At 43.7% G+C, this 19532-nt stretch overlaps 1 protein-coding gene across 4 annotated transcripts in view, besides 1 other annotated feature; it reads right to left on the bottom strand.

Annotated features, from left to right (window-relative positions):
- Nucleotides 1–19532, bottom strand: part of TMEM178B (transmembrane protein 178B) — a 437233-nt gene that overhangs the window by 166266 nt on the left and 251435 nt on the right. The gene's annotated exons all lie outside the window — the stretch shown is intronic.
- Nucleotides 2842–3049: a silencer, noted in NCBI's record as "fragment chr7:141041782-141041989 (GRCh37/hg19 assembly coordinates)". NCBI's record gives its function as "represses an EF-1alpha promoter that drives an FKBP-Casp9 reporter gene in an ReSE screen in K562 erythroleukemia cells {active_cell/tissue: K562}" and the evidence as "EXISTENCE:reporter gene assay evidence [ECO:0000049][PMID:32094911]".

The following is a 19532-nucleotide window of genomic DNA, read 5'->3' as shown; positions in this document are numbered from 1 at the left end:
ATTATGACTAGTTTTAATCTCTTCATAAAAGTAGAACCTATTTCTTTACTACATCTTGTTAGCTATTAACTCATGCTTAGTAATTAAATAATGGGTAGCATCAGAGATGTGGTCCTGTTCATTTCTGTCACTTTACAACCAAGACCACCAAGTCCTGGAGGGTTTACTCCCACAGCTTCCACAGCCAGCCGGTGGCAGAGCCACAGTTAACAGACAGCTCGTTCTGAGTTCCAAAAGTTTGAAATCTTTACAAGCCCCAGTAGTATTCAAACTGATTTTTGAATTCCTAGGGGCCTGGTGTGTGTGTGTTGGGGGGTGCTGTACCTTCTGTGTCCATCTTTATTGTTTTATACTTTGTTCCTCCCTCTGAGAGGTCTTTTGATGAAGGGAAGAAGGAAGGGAGGAAGGAAGGAAGGAAGGAAGGAAGGAAGGAAGGAAGGAAGGAAGGAAGGAAGGGAGGAGGGAGGAATGGAGGGAGGGAGGGAGAAACTAAAATCCCAGCTTTAAAAAGTCTTAAAATTACATTTTTAAAAATTTCAAAGTAAAAAGAGTGCCTAAAATGTGTGAGAAACTTATAACTTTTCATTATAAAGCAGAACTCAACATTAGTTGGATCCCTTCAAATGTCATCTGATGAAGTTCAGTGACTGAAGGGCTATCGGACCAGGGGTTCTGAGCTCAGGCCTTGAAGTCAGAGATCTGAAACCAACATCTTGAACTCTGTGGCTAAGGACCAGTTACTCAATCACTCTAATCCTCACTGTTCTGATCTTTAAAATGGGACTCATAAAACCTTATAGCATAGAATATTAAATGAGATAATCCATGTTAACTGCTGCTGCTGTTGATACAACCATTATTAAGCTGTGTCACCCTTAAAAGTAATGGCAAAAACCACAATTACTTTTGCACCAACCTAATAATTCCAGAGAATTTTAGATCAGCATATAGTGAGGAGCCAATATCTCATATACTCCGTATTTTAAAATCTGTCACAATCCAAGCTGTCCTTTCCTCTGCAGTATGAATAAGTGGTTTTATTTTGTTCCCAAAGAGGTTTGAGAATCACAGGCCAAGATCAGGGATCCTCTGGGTTGCAACAGGAGATCAGGGGCTTGGGCAGCCAGCCCCACAGTTCTCTCTAAGACCAAGTCAGAGCACAAAGGCTTAAAAAGAGTTCCCGGCTGGGCGCGGTGGCTCACGCCTGTAATCCCAGCACTTTGGGAGGCCGAGGTGGGTGGATCCTGAGATCAGGAGATTGAGACCATCCTGGCTAACACAGTGAAACCCCACCTCTACTAAAAATATAAAAAATTAGCCAGGCTTGGTGGCGGGCGCCTGTAGTCCCAGCTACTCGGGAGGCTGAGGCAAGAGAATGGTGTAACCCGGTGGGGTGGAGCTTGCAGTGAGCCGAGATTGCACCATTGAACCATTGCACCATTGCACTCCAGCCTGGGAGACAGAGCAAGACTCCATCTCACAAAAAAAAAAAAAAAAAAAAAAAAGGTGCTCCCATCACAGCTGTGGCTATAAGAGCCTGATTCTGAACTAGGCAGCTGCAGGAAGGTCAACAGTCTGAGCACCAATCTGGCCTTATAATCTGAAGTTGCAAATGAATCTGACAATGGGCCACAGGCAGACATGGGGAGTGCCACCCCACAGGCCTCTCTGGCTTTGGAAACTCATAATCTGGCTAGGAAATTCATAATCAGAATCCCAGGACTAGGGTGAGGTCATGGAGGTGTCCTGTTTCATTTGTCTGCTTCAGCATAAATACATGTTTACTGTGCATGGCTTTGTCATACGCAATGCAAGGGCGAGTGGTACGGGGATGAATCAGACCTACACGGTCCAGAGATGTGAGTGAAGTCTAGGGCAGCAGTTCTTAAATGCAGTCCCCGGACCAGCAGCGTGAGCATCGCTTGGGAGCTCATTAGAGATGAACCTTCTCAGGCCTCAGCCCGGGCCTAGTGAATCAGAAACCCTGGGGGTGGGCCAAGCAATCTGTGTTTTCTCTCTCCTGAGCCATCCGGGTGAGTCCCATACAGCTAAAGTTTGAGAAACAGTGGTACAGGATGTTTTCAAGAGGCGCAGCTAGACATGAGCAATGGAAAACAAAATAATGACAGGAAGTTGGCATTCTATTAGGATAGGCATCACAAAAACTTCATGGTTTGAAGAACCTACCGACAGTGGGCAGAACAGTCAATCAAGCTGAGAGAAACTGAAGCCTGACTCGACATGAGATAGGTCAGAGAGTTTCACACCTCACTGACTGCGGAAACTCGAACGGAACAAAAAACAGGAATGATTAAGTTATCCGTATGTGAGAAGAGTCTGGTGAAAGTGGATACTCAGCTTGCTCTTCTCTCTGTTCAAGGGAGGAGAATTTGCTAAAATTTACCTTAAAGAAATTCTTTATCAACCAAAGGGCTACGCAACCACCTAACAGGTGAGCCTAGCCCAAGTTTTCTGCCTCCCTGAGGGTCATCAGGAAGACCTCGGCTGGAAGGAGGAGCTGGATCTTGAAGACAAAATAAGCAAATTCCTCAGCCCCTCCCAAGAGATTCCTCACTCAGAATGTCTGAGAAGGGGTTCTGAGAAAACGAATTTTTTTGAATATGCATTTTTAACAAAGGATTCCACCTATCATGGCTTAGATGATCCAGTTTGAGAAATACTACTTTAGTGATTCACTTATCCACATCGGGAAGGTTAGAACCAATGATACTGAAGGATCCATTATTGCTCTTTTATTCAACACTTTGCTTATAAGTTATATTTTGGGCCGGGTGTGGCTCATGCCTGTAATCCCAGGACTTTGGAAGGCAGAGGCAAGCAGACCACCTGAGGTCAGTAGTTTGAGACCAGCCTGGTCAACATGGGGAAAGCCCGTCTCTGCTAAAAATACAAAAATTAGCCAGGTGTGGTGGTGCACACCTGTAATCCCAGCTACTTGGGAGGCTGAGGCAGGTGAATCACTGGAACCCAGGAGGCGGAGGTTGCAGTGAGCTGAGATCACACTACTGCACTCCGGCCTGAGTGACAGAATGAGATTCGGTCTCAAAAAAGAAAAAAAGTTGTATTTTGACGTAATTTGTACATTCCTACTAGAAGACATTGGAGAAGTCAAAACTAATTTCTGAAGTGGGAAAAAGTCACTGGAGCCCCAAGTGTAGGAAGTGTCCCAGGTCAAGGTAGAACAGGGCTAATGGAAAGGCCAGGGAAGATTTCTGGGCTTTTCAAGACATGAGCTTTGCCATAATTTTTTTTTTTCTAGTTAAAAGGAGATGCATTTGAAATTCAGTCCCATTTCTTCTAAGTAAATGACTAAAATGATTAATCACTAAATTGCTAGACAGGAGAGTTGGCAGAGCCCTTAGTGGTCATCCCAAGCAGCCTCCCAGCCACTGCCTGTCTGCAGTGAAGACGAAAAACAGTCAGAAGATGGTCGGTCCGTGGTTTAGAAGGATCTTCCTCAGGGGGAGCTGAAATCAGCACACTTCCTTTCTCAGAGAGAAATGAGAGATGAGTGTGCTGCCTTCAGACTGATGGGTTGATGCTTTTCTTTTTTAGGAGGAGAGAAAAGGTGATGAGAAATCAAAGAGAAACCCCTTAGGTAAAATGGGACTGGGCAGAAGAGAAATCCTTGCTCTTTTTCCTTCTCATTTTCCTCCCCACACCTTCCCGGCTCAGTAAACCAAAGCGCTCACTAAGTTAAAGTAGCACAGTGTGGAGAGAGGAAAAGAAAATCTCATTTTGTTTTGTTTTTGAATCCTTAGATGTCATCTTATTCCTTCATTTTTGTGGCCTTTTGTCTCTGCCAGTTTCCATAGAAACAACAACCGGCAAGCAGTTTGCATCCCTCTCTCCAGCTTGTGTGCAGATAACTCCAAACGGGGTCAAAAACAGCTCTGGGTTGAGGAAGAAGGTAGAAGATGCACATCTATATTTGTGTGTGGATTTGTTGTGAAGGTGCATATATATTTCCATGCATTGAGCTCCCTCAATATTTTTTGGCTGCAAACTTTTTTTTAGAGCTTATCTTTCTTTCTGATTTGGGGGAAGGGAGCGGTGAGTTTCATATTTAGTGACAAAGCTGAAACCAAACAGATACATAATTCATACATTATTGAAAAAATAAGAAGGATCAGATGATGTTGCAGAAATAACAGCATACAGTATTCTGTATACACCCGAGAGGGAGAGAAGCTGTTTTCTAAAAGTGTACTAGGCTCATGCAATATTTATAAAATCCGTCAATGACCCACCAAACGATCAGGTACAGTTTCATGTCAAGGTATGATATTTCTTTTCCTTTCCTTTTACTTTTTACTTTAGTGTTTTTCTGTTGCACTGCTCCTGATGTGCTTTGTGCTTTCCTTAGATATTTTCCTGAAATGAAGACTGTGTTACCAACAGGTGGTGGTATGGCCACAATCGGATTCCTCTGAGGAGCACACAATATCTCTTGATATAGGCGACTTTTGACAAAAATTGAAAGAAGCATGACTTTACCTCTTTGAAAAACATAAAACCTTCTTTAAATGGAATGTTATTAATACAGCTACATGTGCCAAATTATAATAACAAGATTTATAGATTAAATTTCTACAGCAAACTGAAGAAATGAGTATCTCAGAAGAAACTGGTACCTGTGTTAGTTATCTATTGCTGCTGTAACAAGTAATCGCAAATTTAGTGGCTTACAACACAAACCGATTATCTTACAGTTCTGTAGGTCAGAAGTCCAAAATGGGTTTCACTGGACTGAAATCCAGCTGTCAGCTGGGCTATGCTTTCACGGGAAGCTCTAGGGACAAATCTGTTTCCTTGCCTTTTCCAGTTTCAAGAAACTGCCTGCATTTCTTGGTTCATGGCCCCTTCCTCCATATTCAAAGCCAACAGTGTAGCATCTTCAAATCTCTCCTAACTTAATCACATCTTCAAAGTCCTCTTTTCCATGTAAGATAACATGTTCACAGGTTCCAGGGATTAAGGTGTGGCTATCTTGACAGAGGGTCATTATTCTGTCCACACAGTACCTTTTTCATCAAATCATGCCTAACAATCATGTTTTAATTTGATCCTGGTTTTACTCCAAGACTGACAAAATGACCTTTCCAACTTGTCCTAAATCCTGCCATGCAGACAAATATCCTGCTCTTTGGCCTCAAGCCAGGCTGACAGCAAATGTTTTGCAGTTTCTACTAACATGAGCCCATTGCCTCCAGGGCAGTCTGTGCTGTCCCTGGTCCTGCCTACATTCTCCCCCAGCTTAGACAGGTGCTCTCCACTGCCTGTCCCTACACTTACAGCATCAACGACTGGTTTCTGCCCCAAAGGCCACATATCCTTGAAGATGGGGTGAGAATTTGCTTTAATGTTTACATTTTCTTTCATGAACCACATGAATGTCCTCATTTTTCTATTCCATTTTATATTTGCACCTTCCACTTTATGAACTCCCTAGTTTTAAAAAATCTCCTTTGCTAATTTTCATCCCTTTTAGCAGATCTTTTGCTGAAGTGTAGTCTTGGTTTTCTGACCCCCTGCTTGGCCTGACTTCTGAAATCTGCACTTACTCCAGTAGCTGGGACAGTTGGTTTCCTGAACCATTGCTGACTTGCTCCACCTCCCAACTGCTGAGCTCCACATGCCCCACGTGAGCCCATCTGCTGCAGCACACTGCCCATTCTCTGGGCCCTGTCCACTGAGGCGGACGAGAGGTGGCTGCCCTACCCCTCCTGGCTATGTGAGCTGTCCAGTGTGGAAACGATCACTCCCCACCTGCAGACACCATCCCTTGGAAGGGCCATCTTTCCACTCCTCAGGGACAAGAAAGCCAAAGAGATAGAAAGCAGCCCCCAGGGAACTTCGCTATAGCCATCGCAACCTGGTATGAAGAAATTACCCCGCTTGAGGGCTTATAATTTACAATGCACACTACATGTGAAGGCCCCACAACCTGTCTCACTCTCTCACAAACACACGCATACACATGCACACCTTCTCTCCCCAACACCCGCCATGGAAGTCCCCACATATTTCTGAAATAACAATTTACATTTTAATAGGCAGCTCTAGCTTCTAGGTCAGAGTAGCTCCCCATTGCACAGTTATTTGTGATGGGCAAGAAATATACCTAGAGCAAGCTTTTAAGGCCCTATTTTCTAAAATATAAAATAATGTGACTTTTTATGCAGAGATGTCATCATTGGCCAGCTTGAAGTGGTTTTGACAGTGAGAGGTGGAATTATCAAGTCAGCTGCCATACCCTCTGCATACCCCACCCACCACACTGCTGCATAGGCCAGTGGCTGGCCAGGGGGACAGTTTGGTCACTGCCCTCCCTGCAAATTCATACTGCATACAGTGTCCCAAACTCACTCACAGTTAAGCCATCCATTGTGGTACTGATGTCTGAAATCACTAAAAAGGGAGTTTTCTTTTTCTTTTGTTCTAAATAAGGTAAGAAAATAGACATCACCCCTGCCTTTCTCCCATCCCCATCCAATATCAAATAGAGGGCAGGCACTCTAGGGTTCCAGGCGTTTTCATTCTTAACTATTTTAATAAGATGTTTCTGGCCAGAATAAGAGTGCCCTCCAGCTCGAACCCCAAAGATTGCTTTTATATGCTGCTTTGATTGACAGGGAAGAAAACAAAGTTGAGAATAAATAAAAGTTCAGAGAATGCTCAATTACATAATTGACTAATCTACAGCATTTCTCCGCTGATTATAATAAACTTTTAAACAAAATAGACTTATTAATAAAGGCTTTAACTACATCATGACCAAAATTCTACTTTCCTTCCCTTTGTTATACCTCTATTGCTCTAATTTCTATCACAGATTTTCAAAAATAACTTCGCTTTAAAAAATATCAAATCGGCCGGGCACGGTGGCTCACGCCTGTAATCCCAGCACTTTGGGAGGCCGAGGTGGGTGCATCACGAGGTCAGGAGATCGAGACCATCCTGGCTAACCTGGTGAAACCCCATCTCTACTAAAAATACAAAAAATTAGCCGGGCGTGGTGACGGGTGCCTGTAGTACCAGCTACTTGGGAGGCTGAGGCAGGAGAATGGTGTGAACCCGGGAGGCAGAGCTTGCAGTGAGCCGAGATTGTGTCACTGCACTCCAGCTTGGGTGACAGAGCGAGACTCCGTCTCAAAAAAAAAAAAATCAAACCATTTTATGCTATCTGCTGGATCTCTTTTGAATATTTTCCACCTTTTTTTGTTTGCAGTGGACTAAAAGGCTTTATAAGAGCCCCATGGGCCTCACTGTCAAAATGACAAAGTATGCACTGACCTATATAGGAAAACATACCAGACACACAGACAGATACAAAAGCACACACATAAATATCCTGAAAGATGTAGCCAAAAGTGTTGCCAGAACAGAGGCTTCATCACCACTTATTAACTCTATGACCTTGGGCAAATTATTGAGTATCTCTAGGCCTTAAACTTATCATCTATACCATAAGCTAATAATACTGAAAAATGAAGCTAGTGATATTTGAATATATCATAGAGTTTTTTTGACAATTACCTGAGTAAATTACATGTAAAGCATTTACAATAGCACTTGGCAAGTAAGCCCAATAAGAGTTTCTTGCTGCTGTTTTTAATGGAGATGGTGGTAGTGGCAGTGGTAGTGGGGTGGTAGTGGGGTAGTGGTAGTGATGGTGATGGTGATGATGAATATGGTGGTGGTGGTGGTGATGGGGATGGTGGTGGTAGTGGTGATGGTGGTGGTGGTGATGATGTGATCATGGTGGTAGTGGGGGTGGTGGTGGTGGTGGTGGTGATGGTGGTGGTGGTGATGGTGGTGGTGCTGGTGGTGGTGGTGGTGGTGGTGGTGATGGTGGTGGTGATGATGGTGGTGGTGGTGATGGTGGTGATGGTGGTGGTGGTGATGATGATGGTAGTGATGGGGGTGGTGGTGGTGGTAGTGATGGTGGTGGTGGTGATGGTGGTGGTGGTGGTGGTGGTGATGGTGGTGATGGTGGTGGTGGTGATGATGATGGTAGTGATGGGGGTGGTGGTGGTGGTGGTAGTGATGGTGGTGGTGGTGATGGTGGTGGTGATGGTGGTGGTGGTGGTGGTGGTGATGATGGTGGTGGTGGTAGCGGTGATGGTGGTGGTGGTGATGATGATGGTAGTGATGGTAATGGTTATGATGGTGGTGATGGTGGTGGTGGTGCTGATCCTAGAAATGATGGTGGTGGTTGTGGTGGTGATGGTGATGATTGTAGTGTTGGTGGTGGTAATGGTGGGATGCTAGAAGTGATGGTAGTAAGAGTTATATAATGTGTAGTTCATTGGACAATAGTGTATGAGCAGTATAACTATGCATTTATATAATTATATTATTTTTGAAACATAGCGTCCTATTGATATCATCCTTATGATAAAACTAAGATTAACTGAGCCAATCCTTGTGTTAGGAACTTTACAACATTGGTTCTACAAGTCACAACAGCCCAAACAGGTAGGTGTTACTAGTTTTATTTTACAGATGAGAAATTAGAGACCTACAGTAGTGAAGTGAATGACCAAGGCCATGCAGTGGACAGTGGCACAACCAGGATTCTGTCATTTAACAAACATTCTCCTCCTGACTGATCTCTGAAAAGCTCAGCATTTCCCACGCCTGGTCCTACAGTGAAAGAGGCGGGCAGGGATGTAGACACCTAGAGTTTAATAGATGAGGAAATGGAGGCAGACAGGCAGGAGGCCAGGGAGTTAGGACCAGAATGCAGTTTACACGTGGGCAGGAGTAGAGAAGCCTGGAAGTACAGAGTGGCCAGGGTGGGTAAAAAGAGTCAGGATGAGGAAGAGCAGCAAATAAAGTCGTGTAGCCCAGGATGACCAGGGCGGGGCCAGCGAGATTCTTCCAGTTGGCACGTAACAGCGACTCTCCAAGTCTGCCCGTGGCAAGTGACGATTACTCTTTCTCAGTTGAAAAGACTGTCAAACATTTTAAATTACAATTGTCAGTAGTGAGACGGTGTTTCATCATGTGAAATGATCTAAAGCTGTGAAGCATAAAGCCTTCTTTAAACAACAAAGTAATGGCTCCCTGCAGAGAGCTCAACTTCACGCATAGAGCCCGGCTTCCTTTTCCCAGAGACACTTGGGGAAAAATTAGCAAGTTTCTCCAGATTTAGGAAAAAAGAACATGGCCTCAGAACTACCTAGGACACACACACACCATCTCCCCAGCCTTCCCTCTAACATCACCCGAATTTCTCACCTGGAATGCCAACCTGACCCAACAGAGGTGACCACAGATCTTTGCTATGAACACATCTGTGATGCCAACAAGATCCCATCAAATTGCGCTAATGGGGGAGAGGTGAGGCAATGAGAAGTTTAAAGGGGGGAAAATAGTAATCCCAAACTGTGCACTGTACTGTTACTGTTTTCATGAGCTTCTCATGAAAACTTCTCATGAGCTGGGGGAATTTGGGTGGTCCTCTCAGCTGTTGCCTTGGGCTCCTGCACAGGGTGCCTGTCCAATTGTCCAGAACCAAGACTATGAGGAGAGATCTGGTCAAACCCAGCTTCACTTCCCATCTGTTCTCAAGACCCAACTTCTAAAGCAGCGTCATTTCCAGAGCGCCCTCTGGGAGCAGAGTGCCAGCACCAAGTGCTGAGGCAGAAGAGAGGAAGAGAGACAGATAGGGACCCTGGTGGCAGGAGAAGAGGGTTGACCTCAGTGCGTAGGTCAGGAACTCTCTTGGAGGAGAAAGCTGAGCTGAGGGTCCAGGTAGCTTCATCCCCTCTGCCCATCTCCTAACAGTGCTGCTTGTTCCTTCTGCTGGGCCAGACTCTCTCGGTCTCCTGACATTAATTTCCCTCCTTATCCAGGACTCCATCCAGGCTGCCCCACCTGAGCAACTGTGCTGTGGCTTGTATCAGAACCATGGAGGCTGCACTAACCAAGCTGTTTATATCATTGTCTGCTATTGATTTGGCAGCCCCAGGAGAAACTGCAGGCCCCTCGAGGGAGGAAAAGATAAAGGTGAAACAAAAGATCCTCCAGACTGGTTTTTCTCCCCACTTCTCCTAGGACCTGCCCTGGATTGAGAACCGTTTTCCAAATCTTTACCAGCTGCCTGGCAGCTTGCCACAGATCAATAAGTCTTCTTCAGAGTTCCAACTTGCAAAAATATTTACTGTACATAATTTAATAGAACCCTCTCCTGGATAAGGAGCTGACACTTTTAATTACCTGGATCAAGTGCTCTCCTTCTATAGGACATGGCATACACATGGCTCAGAATGCCAGCTACACACATTTCCCAGGCTTTTCACTCTTGATTTGCAAAGAGGAGGAGGATGAGGGTCTATGGGATGGTGACCACTATGTGGGGCTTTCTTCACCTACCCCCTTCAATAGATCTTTGCATGCTCAAATACAGACAGCTTTTCCCCCCTGTTCCCAAGGAACTTGGTTGTGTATCTTCTCTGGGACTCTGCCTAGGGTAGCTGGCCCAGGATTCATCTTCTTCAGGTCCCTGCAGATACATGACTGCAAGTGTGCAATAGGAACTGGCCACAACAGCCATTAATAATAGCTAGCATGTGATGACTACGTTCTATGAGACAAACGTAGTACCAGACTCACAATATACTTCATTTCTAAGCTGCAAAATAAACCTGCATGGAGATGTTATTATGCCCATTTTTCAGATGAGATAACAGAGGCCCACATACATTATGTAACTTACCCAAGGACACCTACTCATGAATTGCTGAGACAGGACTCGAACACACATCGGTCTGACCAAAACCCTATACTGCATCTCAAGCCCATCCTGAGCAAGTGCCACACATTTCCAGAGAAGCTCCAGAAATCAATACTGGTTTCTATCCCAGGGTTGTGTGGAGTGAAGACGAACAAATACCAGACAGTTTTGGAGACTGGCTTCCTCAACTCTTTCAGCCTCTTCCCCCTAGGTTTGGCTTCTCTTCCAACCCTCCTCTTCCTGGGCCCTTAGAGCAGGGGTTCCCCCTGTTAGGAAGCGGGCCCCACAGCAGAAGGTGAGCTGCAGGTGGGCAGGTGAGTGAGCATTACCGCCAGAGCTCTACCTCCTGTCAGATCAGCTGCGCCATTAGATTCTCATAGGAGCGCAAACCCTATTGTGAACCGCACATGGAAGGGATCTAGATTGCGCGCTCCTTTAGAAACTCTAACTAATACCTGATGATCTGAGGTGGAACAGTTTCATCCTGAAACCATTCTCCGCCCTCCACCCCAGTCCACGGAAAAATTATCTTCCATGAAACCAGTTCCTGATGCCAAAAAGGTTGGGGACTGCTGCCTTAGAGGACTTCTACTCAGCACCATGGACAGAGTCTGGGTCAGCTCTGGCCCATTCTGGTCTGTGCTGCTGCTCCTCCAGCACCCCTCCTGTACTGCCACAATGGTCAGGAGGCCATTTTGCAATGCAGGCATTTCTCTCAAATGCTAATTAACTTCCTCTGGCATCTTAGACAAAAGCAATCCTGGGCAATCATATTCTGCATGGCACCTAAAAATTTGTGGGTGTACAATAAATATTCAGCTCCTAACAACAATTCCCACACTTGCTAATGATTGTGTGGGAGCATTTGGTTTCATAGGCAGAAAAGCCAAATAAGAGATTGCTGAAACCAGAAAGGGAATTATTAATTCAAAGTAGCTGTGCTTGGCTGTGACAAAGGGCTGATGCTGGGGAAGTGAAGAGGGTAGAAAATGGAAACCTCCATACCTACATGAATTGTGAGTAGTCCCAGACTGGCCAAGGCCTACCAACTAACGCGTGATCAAGCTTTATCAACGTTTATGTCTAACGCTGTTTTCAACACCATAGAATTTGAGAGCTGGCTATTTCACTGAGATGTCATTGAGATCTGGAAGAAGTAGATGTTAATTCTGGGCCACCCCTAGGGGCTGCTGACCTCTAGGAACAAGGAAGGGGCTGGGTAGAGAGGATATAATGATAAACTTGAAAATTTCTCAAAATGGTGGATTCCAAATGGATGGGCCAACTCTTCCGCTAAGCGCTCTTGGTGTGAGCAAAAGGAGATCCCTGCAACCTACTAAAACTATGCCATCCAGCAAGCAGGAAATGAACAGCAAAGCACCAAAATATGTCAGTTCCCAAAACAATGAATGAAGCACAGGCTGGTGAGTCTGGAATTTAATTTGCAACACTCACTACAAGGTGGGGAAACACTAAAGAAACCTGACACATTTTGCATATTCCAGGTGAGATGGGCAATAGATATATTTTGGTGCAGAGAAATAGAGTTGCAGGCAGGAAACAAACTGATCTGCATTTCATGCCTCTATTTTCTGGGCAAACTCAACTGTTACCCTCCTCCCATATGCACATACTGTTGTTTTGTATAATGTGAAAACAATATCTGGAAGAGATGCTTGAAAACCTTCACAGACATTCCCGTGACATTCACATGATGAGGGAGCTAGAGGAATGGACGATGAAGGGAGTTGTGTACAGAGGAAAAAAAAGTAAAAGCTCATGGAAGAATGGGGTCATGGGTTGCAGAAATCGTGTTGGCTGCTGATTGGTCTGAATGAACAGAATTCTTCAACGGAGCATGTTTCTTTTTAGGTGTATCAGTACATCTATGAACCATATGATGTTAACAGCAGCCAGTTGAGGGTAGTGAGCCGACGGAGGCTTATTTTCCTTTTGTTTATAAGTATATTCTAATTTTCTGGCAATATAATGTATGTAATTAAAAGAATGAGAGTTAAAAATATTTGGAATGTGAATCTGAATAACTGGCACCTGCTTTATATATTAATGAACAAAACTATGCATGAAAGTTTGGAAGAGGGTCTTGGCTCTTGGGCAGCAACACAAGACAATTCAGAACCATGAGTTCAGTTAGACTGACTTCGAATGACAGATGTGAAGGTCAGAGCTGTGAAGATGGACAGTCACAACCAGGAGGTCATCTCCTCACTCACTGGAGGGGTACAGGTAAGTGTCCTGAGAACACAGGGGAAAACCAATCCAGAGGACACAGCCTCAGGAGGCAATGTTCCAAAGGGAGACATAGGAGATTCTGAATAAAAAGACAAATGGGTTAGAACACTGAAATGGGTACAGACACAAAGAGAGTTACAAAGAGACCAGGAAGAAAACCCCAAGGTCTGCCCCTGGCCCTGGAGCCATGCAATCACTGGCCCAAAGCCCTCACCCTTTCTGAAGGTTCAGCAGATAGACACTTGCCCTCCATCAGGCTCACTGCATCAGCCACTGAAACTGTCATCAAATACCAGCAAATTCCTTTACCCCACTTCCACTTCCAACTACCCCTCCCCATTTCCTTCCTTTCCCTTGCAGCAAGGCTCTTCACAAGAGATATGTGTGGTCATTATATCCAATTTTTTGTCTCCCATTTTTCTCTGAAACCAGTACAATTACATTTTTGCTTCCTCTACTTCCCCTAAACTCTTCTTATCAAGCTCACCATTGCACTTCATGCTGCTAATTCCAAGGGAAGCTCATCGGTCCTCTTTTTTCTTAACCCACCAATAGCAACTGTTGCATTTCCTCATTTCCTCCCCTCAAAAGGCTTTATCCACACAGCTTCTAAGCATCACACCACCAGGTTTTCCAACAACTCACAGACCACAGATTTTCCATCTACTTTGCTGCTCGTCCCTGATCACCTTTGCGTCTTAACTTTCAAGTGCCCAGGATTCAGTCCAATACTTTTCTTTTCTACTTACATTTACTCCCTTGGTGTTATCATCTATTCTATGGCCTTAGAGACCATCTGCATGCCAAAGACTCCCAAATTTATGTCTCCAGTCCCCATCTCACATTGAACTCAAGACTTGTAGTCCACTTGCCTACTTAATAGCTCCACTAGAATAGCCAATAGGCACGCCAAATGTCAACACCCAGCACTTCCCCTATAAATCCAACCCTTCCTGCTTTCCTCTCAATCTCAGTTGATGGCAATTCCAACTTGCAGCTGCTAAGACCAAAAAAGGCTTGGAGGCATGCTTGACTTTTCTTTCTCTCACACCTAGTCTATGAGCAAAGCCTGTTGGCTCAACCTTCAAATTAAAGGCAGAATTTGACTACCTCTCATGACCTCCACTGCTACCTTCCTGGTCAAAGCCCGTCATCCCTTGCCTAGATTATTACAATCACTGGTCTCTCTGTTACTGCCCTCTTCTCACCTCCAGCGAAACATATATGTTCAACACAGAAGCCAGAGTGATCCTGTTAAAAGTACAAGTTGGATCACATCATTCTTCTTTGCAAAGCCTCCCAGTGGCTTCCCACTGAAGAGTTTCCCTCAAATCCATCAGTTTCTACTGATCTACCTTTCACTTCCATCTTCTCTGATTCTGTGTCAAGACCATCCACATCCTCCCATATTATTCTCCAACCAGCAGGTAGTGTTTTCTCTCTAAGTGAGAAATCTAATCACATTACCCTCCAATTAAAAGCCCTTCAATATAGACTGGATAAAGAAAATATGCTACATATACACCATGGAATACTATACAGCCATAAAAAGGAATGAGATCATGTCCTTTGCAGGAACATGGATGGAGCCGGAAGTCATTATCCTCGGTAAATTAACACAGGAACAGAAAACCAAACACCATATGTTCTCACTTATAAGTGGGAGCTGAACAATGAGAACACATGGACACAGGGAGGAGAACAACACACACTGGGACCTGTTGGGAGTACATGGGGAGGGAGAGTGTCAGGATCAATATTAACAGCTTATGCCTGTGGGGCTTAATACCTAGGTGATGGGTTGACAGGTATAGCAAACCATCATAGAACATGTTTACCTATGTAACAAATCTGCACATCCTGCATATGTATCCCAGAAGTTTATATCAAATTAAATAATTAAAATAAACTTTCAACCAAAAAAAAAAGCCCTTCAATAGGATCCTACTGCCCTCAGGGTGAAGATTAAATTTCTCAGGGTTACCATGGCCATCTTCACCATGCAGTGACAGTCCTAGTGTATCTCCTGGCCACAGGCCTTGGTGAGCACATTCAGCTACCATTGATTCTGTGTCCACCACGTTCGTTAACCTGTCATTAGAATACTTCCTGATGAGTTCCCCTCTTTGTGTGAGTGTCATGTCCCCAGCCAGATTGTTTTTAGCTCTTTATGAGCTGGGATCACATCTCCTATTTTATTTTCTGTCCCTTTATCAGTTCCCTGATAATAGCAGGTCACTTGATACTTGTTTAATTAACAGGGCAGAACAGACTGTGTAACTTGAGTAAAGGGATGCTGGGTAAGTGTTTCTGGAACACAGGTTGATTTTCTTCCCCCAACACATCTGCAGTGGCTATTATAAAATGTTCTGTAGGATGGTCAATGTGCTAGCCATTCAGTACAACTAGTTTTTCCATTCTTTTGAACAAAAACACCAAGAACAAATGACTTTACCTGAATATGTTGCAATGACAGAAAAGCTTTATCCTGTGGAAGAGGAATAAAAGGCAACTCTGCTGACCTGATAAGCCTCGGGACAAAAGGATGATGATTTGATACGGTGGTTCAAGAGGCTGTACGCTGCCTTGCAGAATCTGTTACCCAGTCATGGGAAAGAATAATGAGAATGGCAACCGTGATGGCCAGATAGCCAGAGCCCCAGCTTTCTTCCTCTTGTCTTGTATGAGGAGGGTGCCCAGGACGCTGCCCAGACAGACACTTTTACAAATCCACACCCCAGGTAGGGGGTGGGAAGAGTTTGAGGGGTGGCATTACTCCACTCATTTCATCATGTAATGTTTTAACAAAACTTCATGGTATCTCTTGCCAGATATCTCAGGTTGGACGCTGGAGGGAAGTAACAGATGTGCCCCTCAGGGAATTTTAGGATATCCAGAATCAATGCCTCAAGTACCCTGCCTCCCATTCCAAGGTTTCAGGGTTGATTCCAAGAACACCTAAGGGCAATTGATCTAAAGACATTATAGACTGGGGGGGACATGTTAATTTATAAAGAAGGCCAATCAGGAAGGAAGCACAGCATATCAAAATGATCTGAAAGTCATAAGACCTGATTCTCACCATTAATTAATTACCTAAGTCACCTTGAGCTATTCACAGAAACTCTCTGAGCCTCACCTGTAGAAAAAGGAGCTGGAAGTATAGCTGATCTTATACTAGCTGTTTTCAAAGCCCTTTGCAAGTCAACAAGCCTAAGATTCATTATAGGAAAAGAAAATGAAAGGCACCTTTGGCCTAGGTCATTTAACCTGGGAATGGTAGATGACACTGGCCAGCCTCCTTGGCCCATGTCAGAGAAGATTTGTGACAACAGCTTCAACGTCTTCTGAGCAGAAGGAAAGCTTCATGCCAAGTGTTGCAGAAGGATATGGCACAGGGTGAAGAGAGAGAAGGTTACAAACCAGTGCGAGGACTCACAGGGACTCAGATACTCCTCCCCTTCTGTTCCTGGGTTAGACCCAGAGACCCTGAGTGACCCAGTTACACTTTCAGTGGCCCAGCTGTCTCATCTCTTAGGCAAGAGCTCTTCCAACCACATCAAAGTGACTTTTTTAGGCTTGGAACTCCCTCCCTGAGTCTCTAGCCTCCTCCAGAGGTAAAAGAAAGGATTGAGGGTGGGGAGAAGCCTATTTATTTCTCTTCCTATCAGAAGATACTGTGTCTCACAGTTCCTTCTCTTATTCCCCCATTAAAAAAGGTATTGGATAGAACATACCACTGTGTGAAGTTTGGACAGAAACTCCAGCTGGCATTCCTCTCCGTCATTCCAGTCACAATAACGGGGTCTGTGCCTCCAGAAGAAATGTGATGACCAGAAAGGAAAATAGATACATTCTCCCTCAGGAGCCAACCTTACCCCTATCTTCTCCATCTGGGAAACAGAATTGAGTATGCAAGTGAAGATCTTGTGATGCACTTATGAATGATACCAGGTCCAGTTAAGATCCTTGAAAGATTCACTGCTCCACTTCTCAAGCTGGCTAAATACTCCCAGTGCTAGCCAGTACTCAGGGTCTGTGCCTGGAATGCATGAGGAAGCCAGGCAGAGAGAGCTCAGCTTGGTGCCTCTCCAACGTGTTACTGACTTACACTTAGTGTTCATGCTGAATTACACACACTCTATATGGATGTGGTGCTGGTTTAGAAGTTGTTTTCAACTATAATGCAACTTTAATAGAATATCTTCTATTAAAAACACAACTGTGGCTTGGTGCAGTGGCTAAACTCATCCTTTTATAGGGAACCCACAATAATGACATTAATTCATTCAAAAGAACAGAGCCTTTATGACCTAAACACCTCTTGAAAGTCCTACCTCCCAACATGTCCTCAGTGGGATCAAGTTTCCAACACATAAACTTTCTGGGACACATAGAAACCAAGCATACATCTTGTCCTTCTTATGCCCCAAAAAGGGATTTGAACATGTTTTTATATAGTTGTCAAAATTCATGAAATCTATAACATCAAAAGTGAACCCAAATATAAACTATAGACTTTGAGTGATAATAATGTTCCAATGTAGGCTCATCTATTATAACAAATGTACCACTCTAATGGGGAATGTTGATAGTGGGGGAGGTTGCGCATGTGTGGGAACAAGGAATATATGGGAACCCTCTGTTCCTTCTGCTCAGTTTTGCTGTGAAACTAAAACTGCTCCAGAAAAATAAGTTTATTAATTTTTTTAAAAACAGATTTGAGCTCTTTCTACACTCTCTGCCCAATATTTGACATTTTCCTCTGGCAAATCTGTCTTTCCCATTATGGGATTTTTCTGGGCAGAAAACTTCATAAACTCTATACATCATGCAAAGAGGCCACCGTCTACCCAATTTAGGAATAGTAAAAGACGTTTAAAAGAAAAACATTTTAGTCTAGAGAGCCTGGGGAGAACCAAGAGAATAGCACTCAGCTTGAACAATGGCACAGAAAATAGGGCTCGGGGAGACATATGGAAAGAATTTCATGGTTTGATCTAGAGTTGCATGGCTCAATACAGTAGTCACCAACAACACATGGCTATTTATTTTTAAATGTGAGTTAAATTAAATTCAAAAGTCAGTTCCTCATCCCACTAACCAAATATCAAGGGCTCAGTAGATACATGTAGTTAGTGGCTACCATATCGGACAACACATATAGAGAACATATAGAGAAGATTTGCATTGTTGCAGAAGGTGCTATTGGACAGCACAAGTCTAGAATGGGGATCAGCAAACTTTTCTATAAAGGATTAGCTAGTAAGCATTTCAGGCTTTGTGGGCCAAACCATCTCTGTCATAACTACTCAACACTGCTTTTGTAGTACAAAAACAGCCATAGACAATATGTAAATGAAGGGGCATCGTTGTGTTCCAATAAAACTATTTATAAAAACAGGATTTGGTCTGTAGTTCAAGTTTGCCAAGCCTTGGTTTAGAGGAACCATTCTTAATCTATAATAGGAACATTCGATTCCCAGGAGGCCTTAATTACTGTGAGGCATCTACCCATAGGCACTACAAGCAATCATAGCTTTAGACTAAATAACATGTCCATCACATACCAGTATCTTTATTTATCAGAATACCTCTGTATTATCATGAGTAATAAGATACAAATTCATTTCAAATCACTACTGTTTTCAAAGGAGCATTTGTCATTGTGCATTATTCTCAGAAATGAACCATGAATTTTGTTTCTTTTATTATGTTTCTCTAATACAAGTAATGCATGTTTGGTTCAGAAAAATGAGAAAGCAAGATAAAAAAGAAAGAAAAAGAGAATTACCTGAGTTTCTACTCAGGAGATTTTTAACCATTGTTAACATGTAATTAAAAATACATGGTTCCTTTGTTCACTGCTATATTCCTGGTACCTAGAACAGTGGTGAATGCATGGTAGACAATAAATATTCATTGAATTTTAAAATGTCTGAATATTATAAAAATAGGGTTATTCACAACTGTACTTCAGGAATTCTATAAACTTTCTGACTACATTAGCAATGCTGGCTGTATTTGAGAGTTTCTGCAGTGACTTACAGTTTTCATTGGATTACCAAAGGTGTCTGTGATCTAAAAAGGTGAAAAAATACTCAGTTATTCCCAGGACTAAACCTACAAGGTCTTTACATTTCTGTCTATTTATGACTGAGCTCCATAGAGAATCAGACTTTTTTTTTTCCCAGGGCTGTCTTCCATGACTAATCAAAGTCATCTATCTGGATTCAAACCATCCCAGGTGGAAAAGCTGCTTGGCTTGAACATAATTCACTCAGGAAAAATGGAGGAGGGGGCTTCTGATGTCACTTTTCCAAGTCTGAGAACATGGACCAGTGTAAAGAAAAAGATCCCCTGTGGCCTTCCCAAGAAGTCCAGGCTTGTTACACCTTCTCTGGGCCCTGTCAGTGCAGTAGGCTTGAGCATCATGCTGATGGGGTCAGACCATAAGCCCAATCCCTATGGAGACCAGGTAAAACAGAGGTGCCAAGATTGGCACACCTAAGGT

The sequence above is a fragment of the Homo sapiens genome, chromosome 7 (genome assembly GCF_000001405.40).
Source record: "Homo sapiens chromosome 7, GRCh38.p14 Primary Assembly".
NCBI classification, from domain to species: domain Eukaryota; kingdom Metazoa; phylum Chordata; class Mammalia; order Primates; family Hominidae; genus Homo; species Homo sapiens.
The sequence above is the reverse complement of the archived record's forward strand: the minus strand, read 5'-3'. Positions and strand labels throughout refer to the sequence as shown.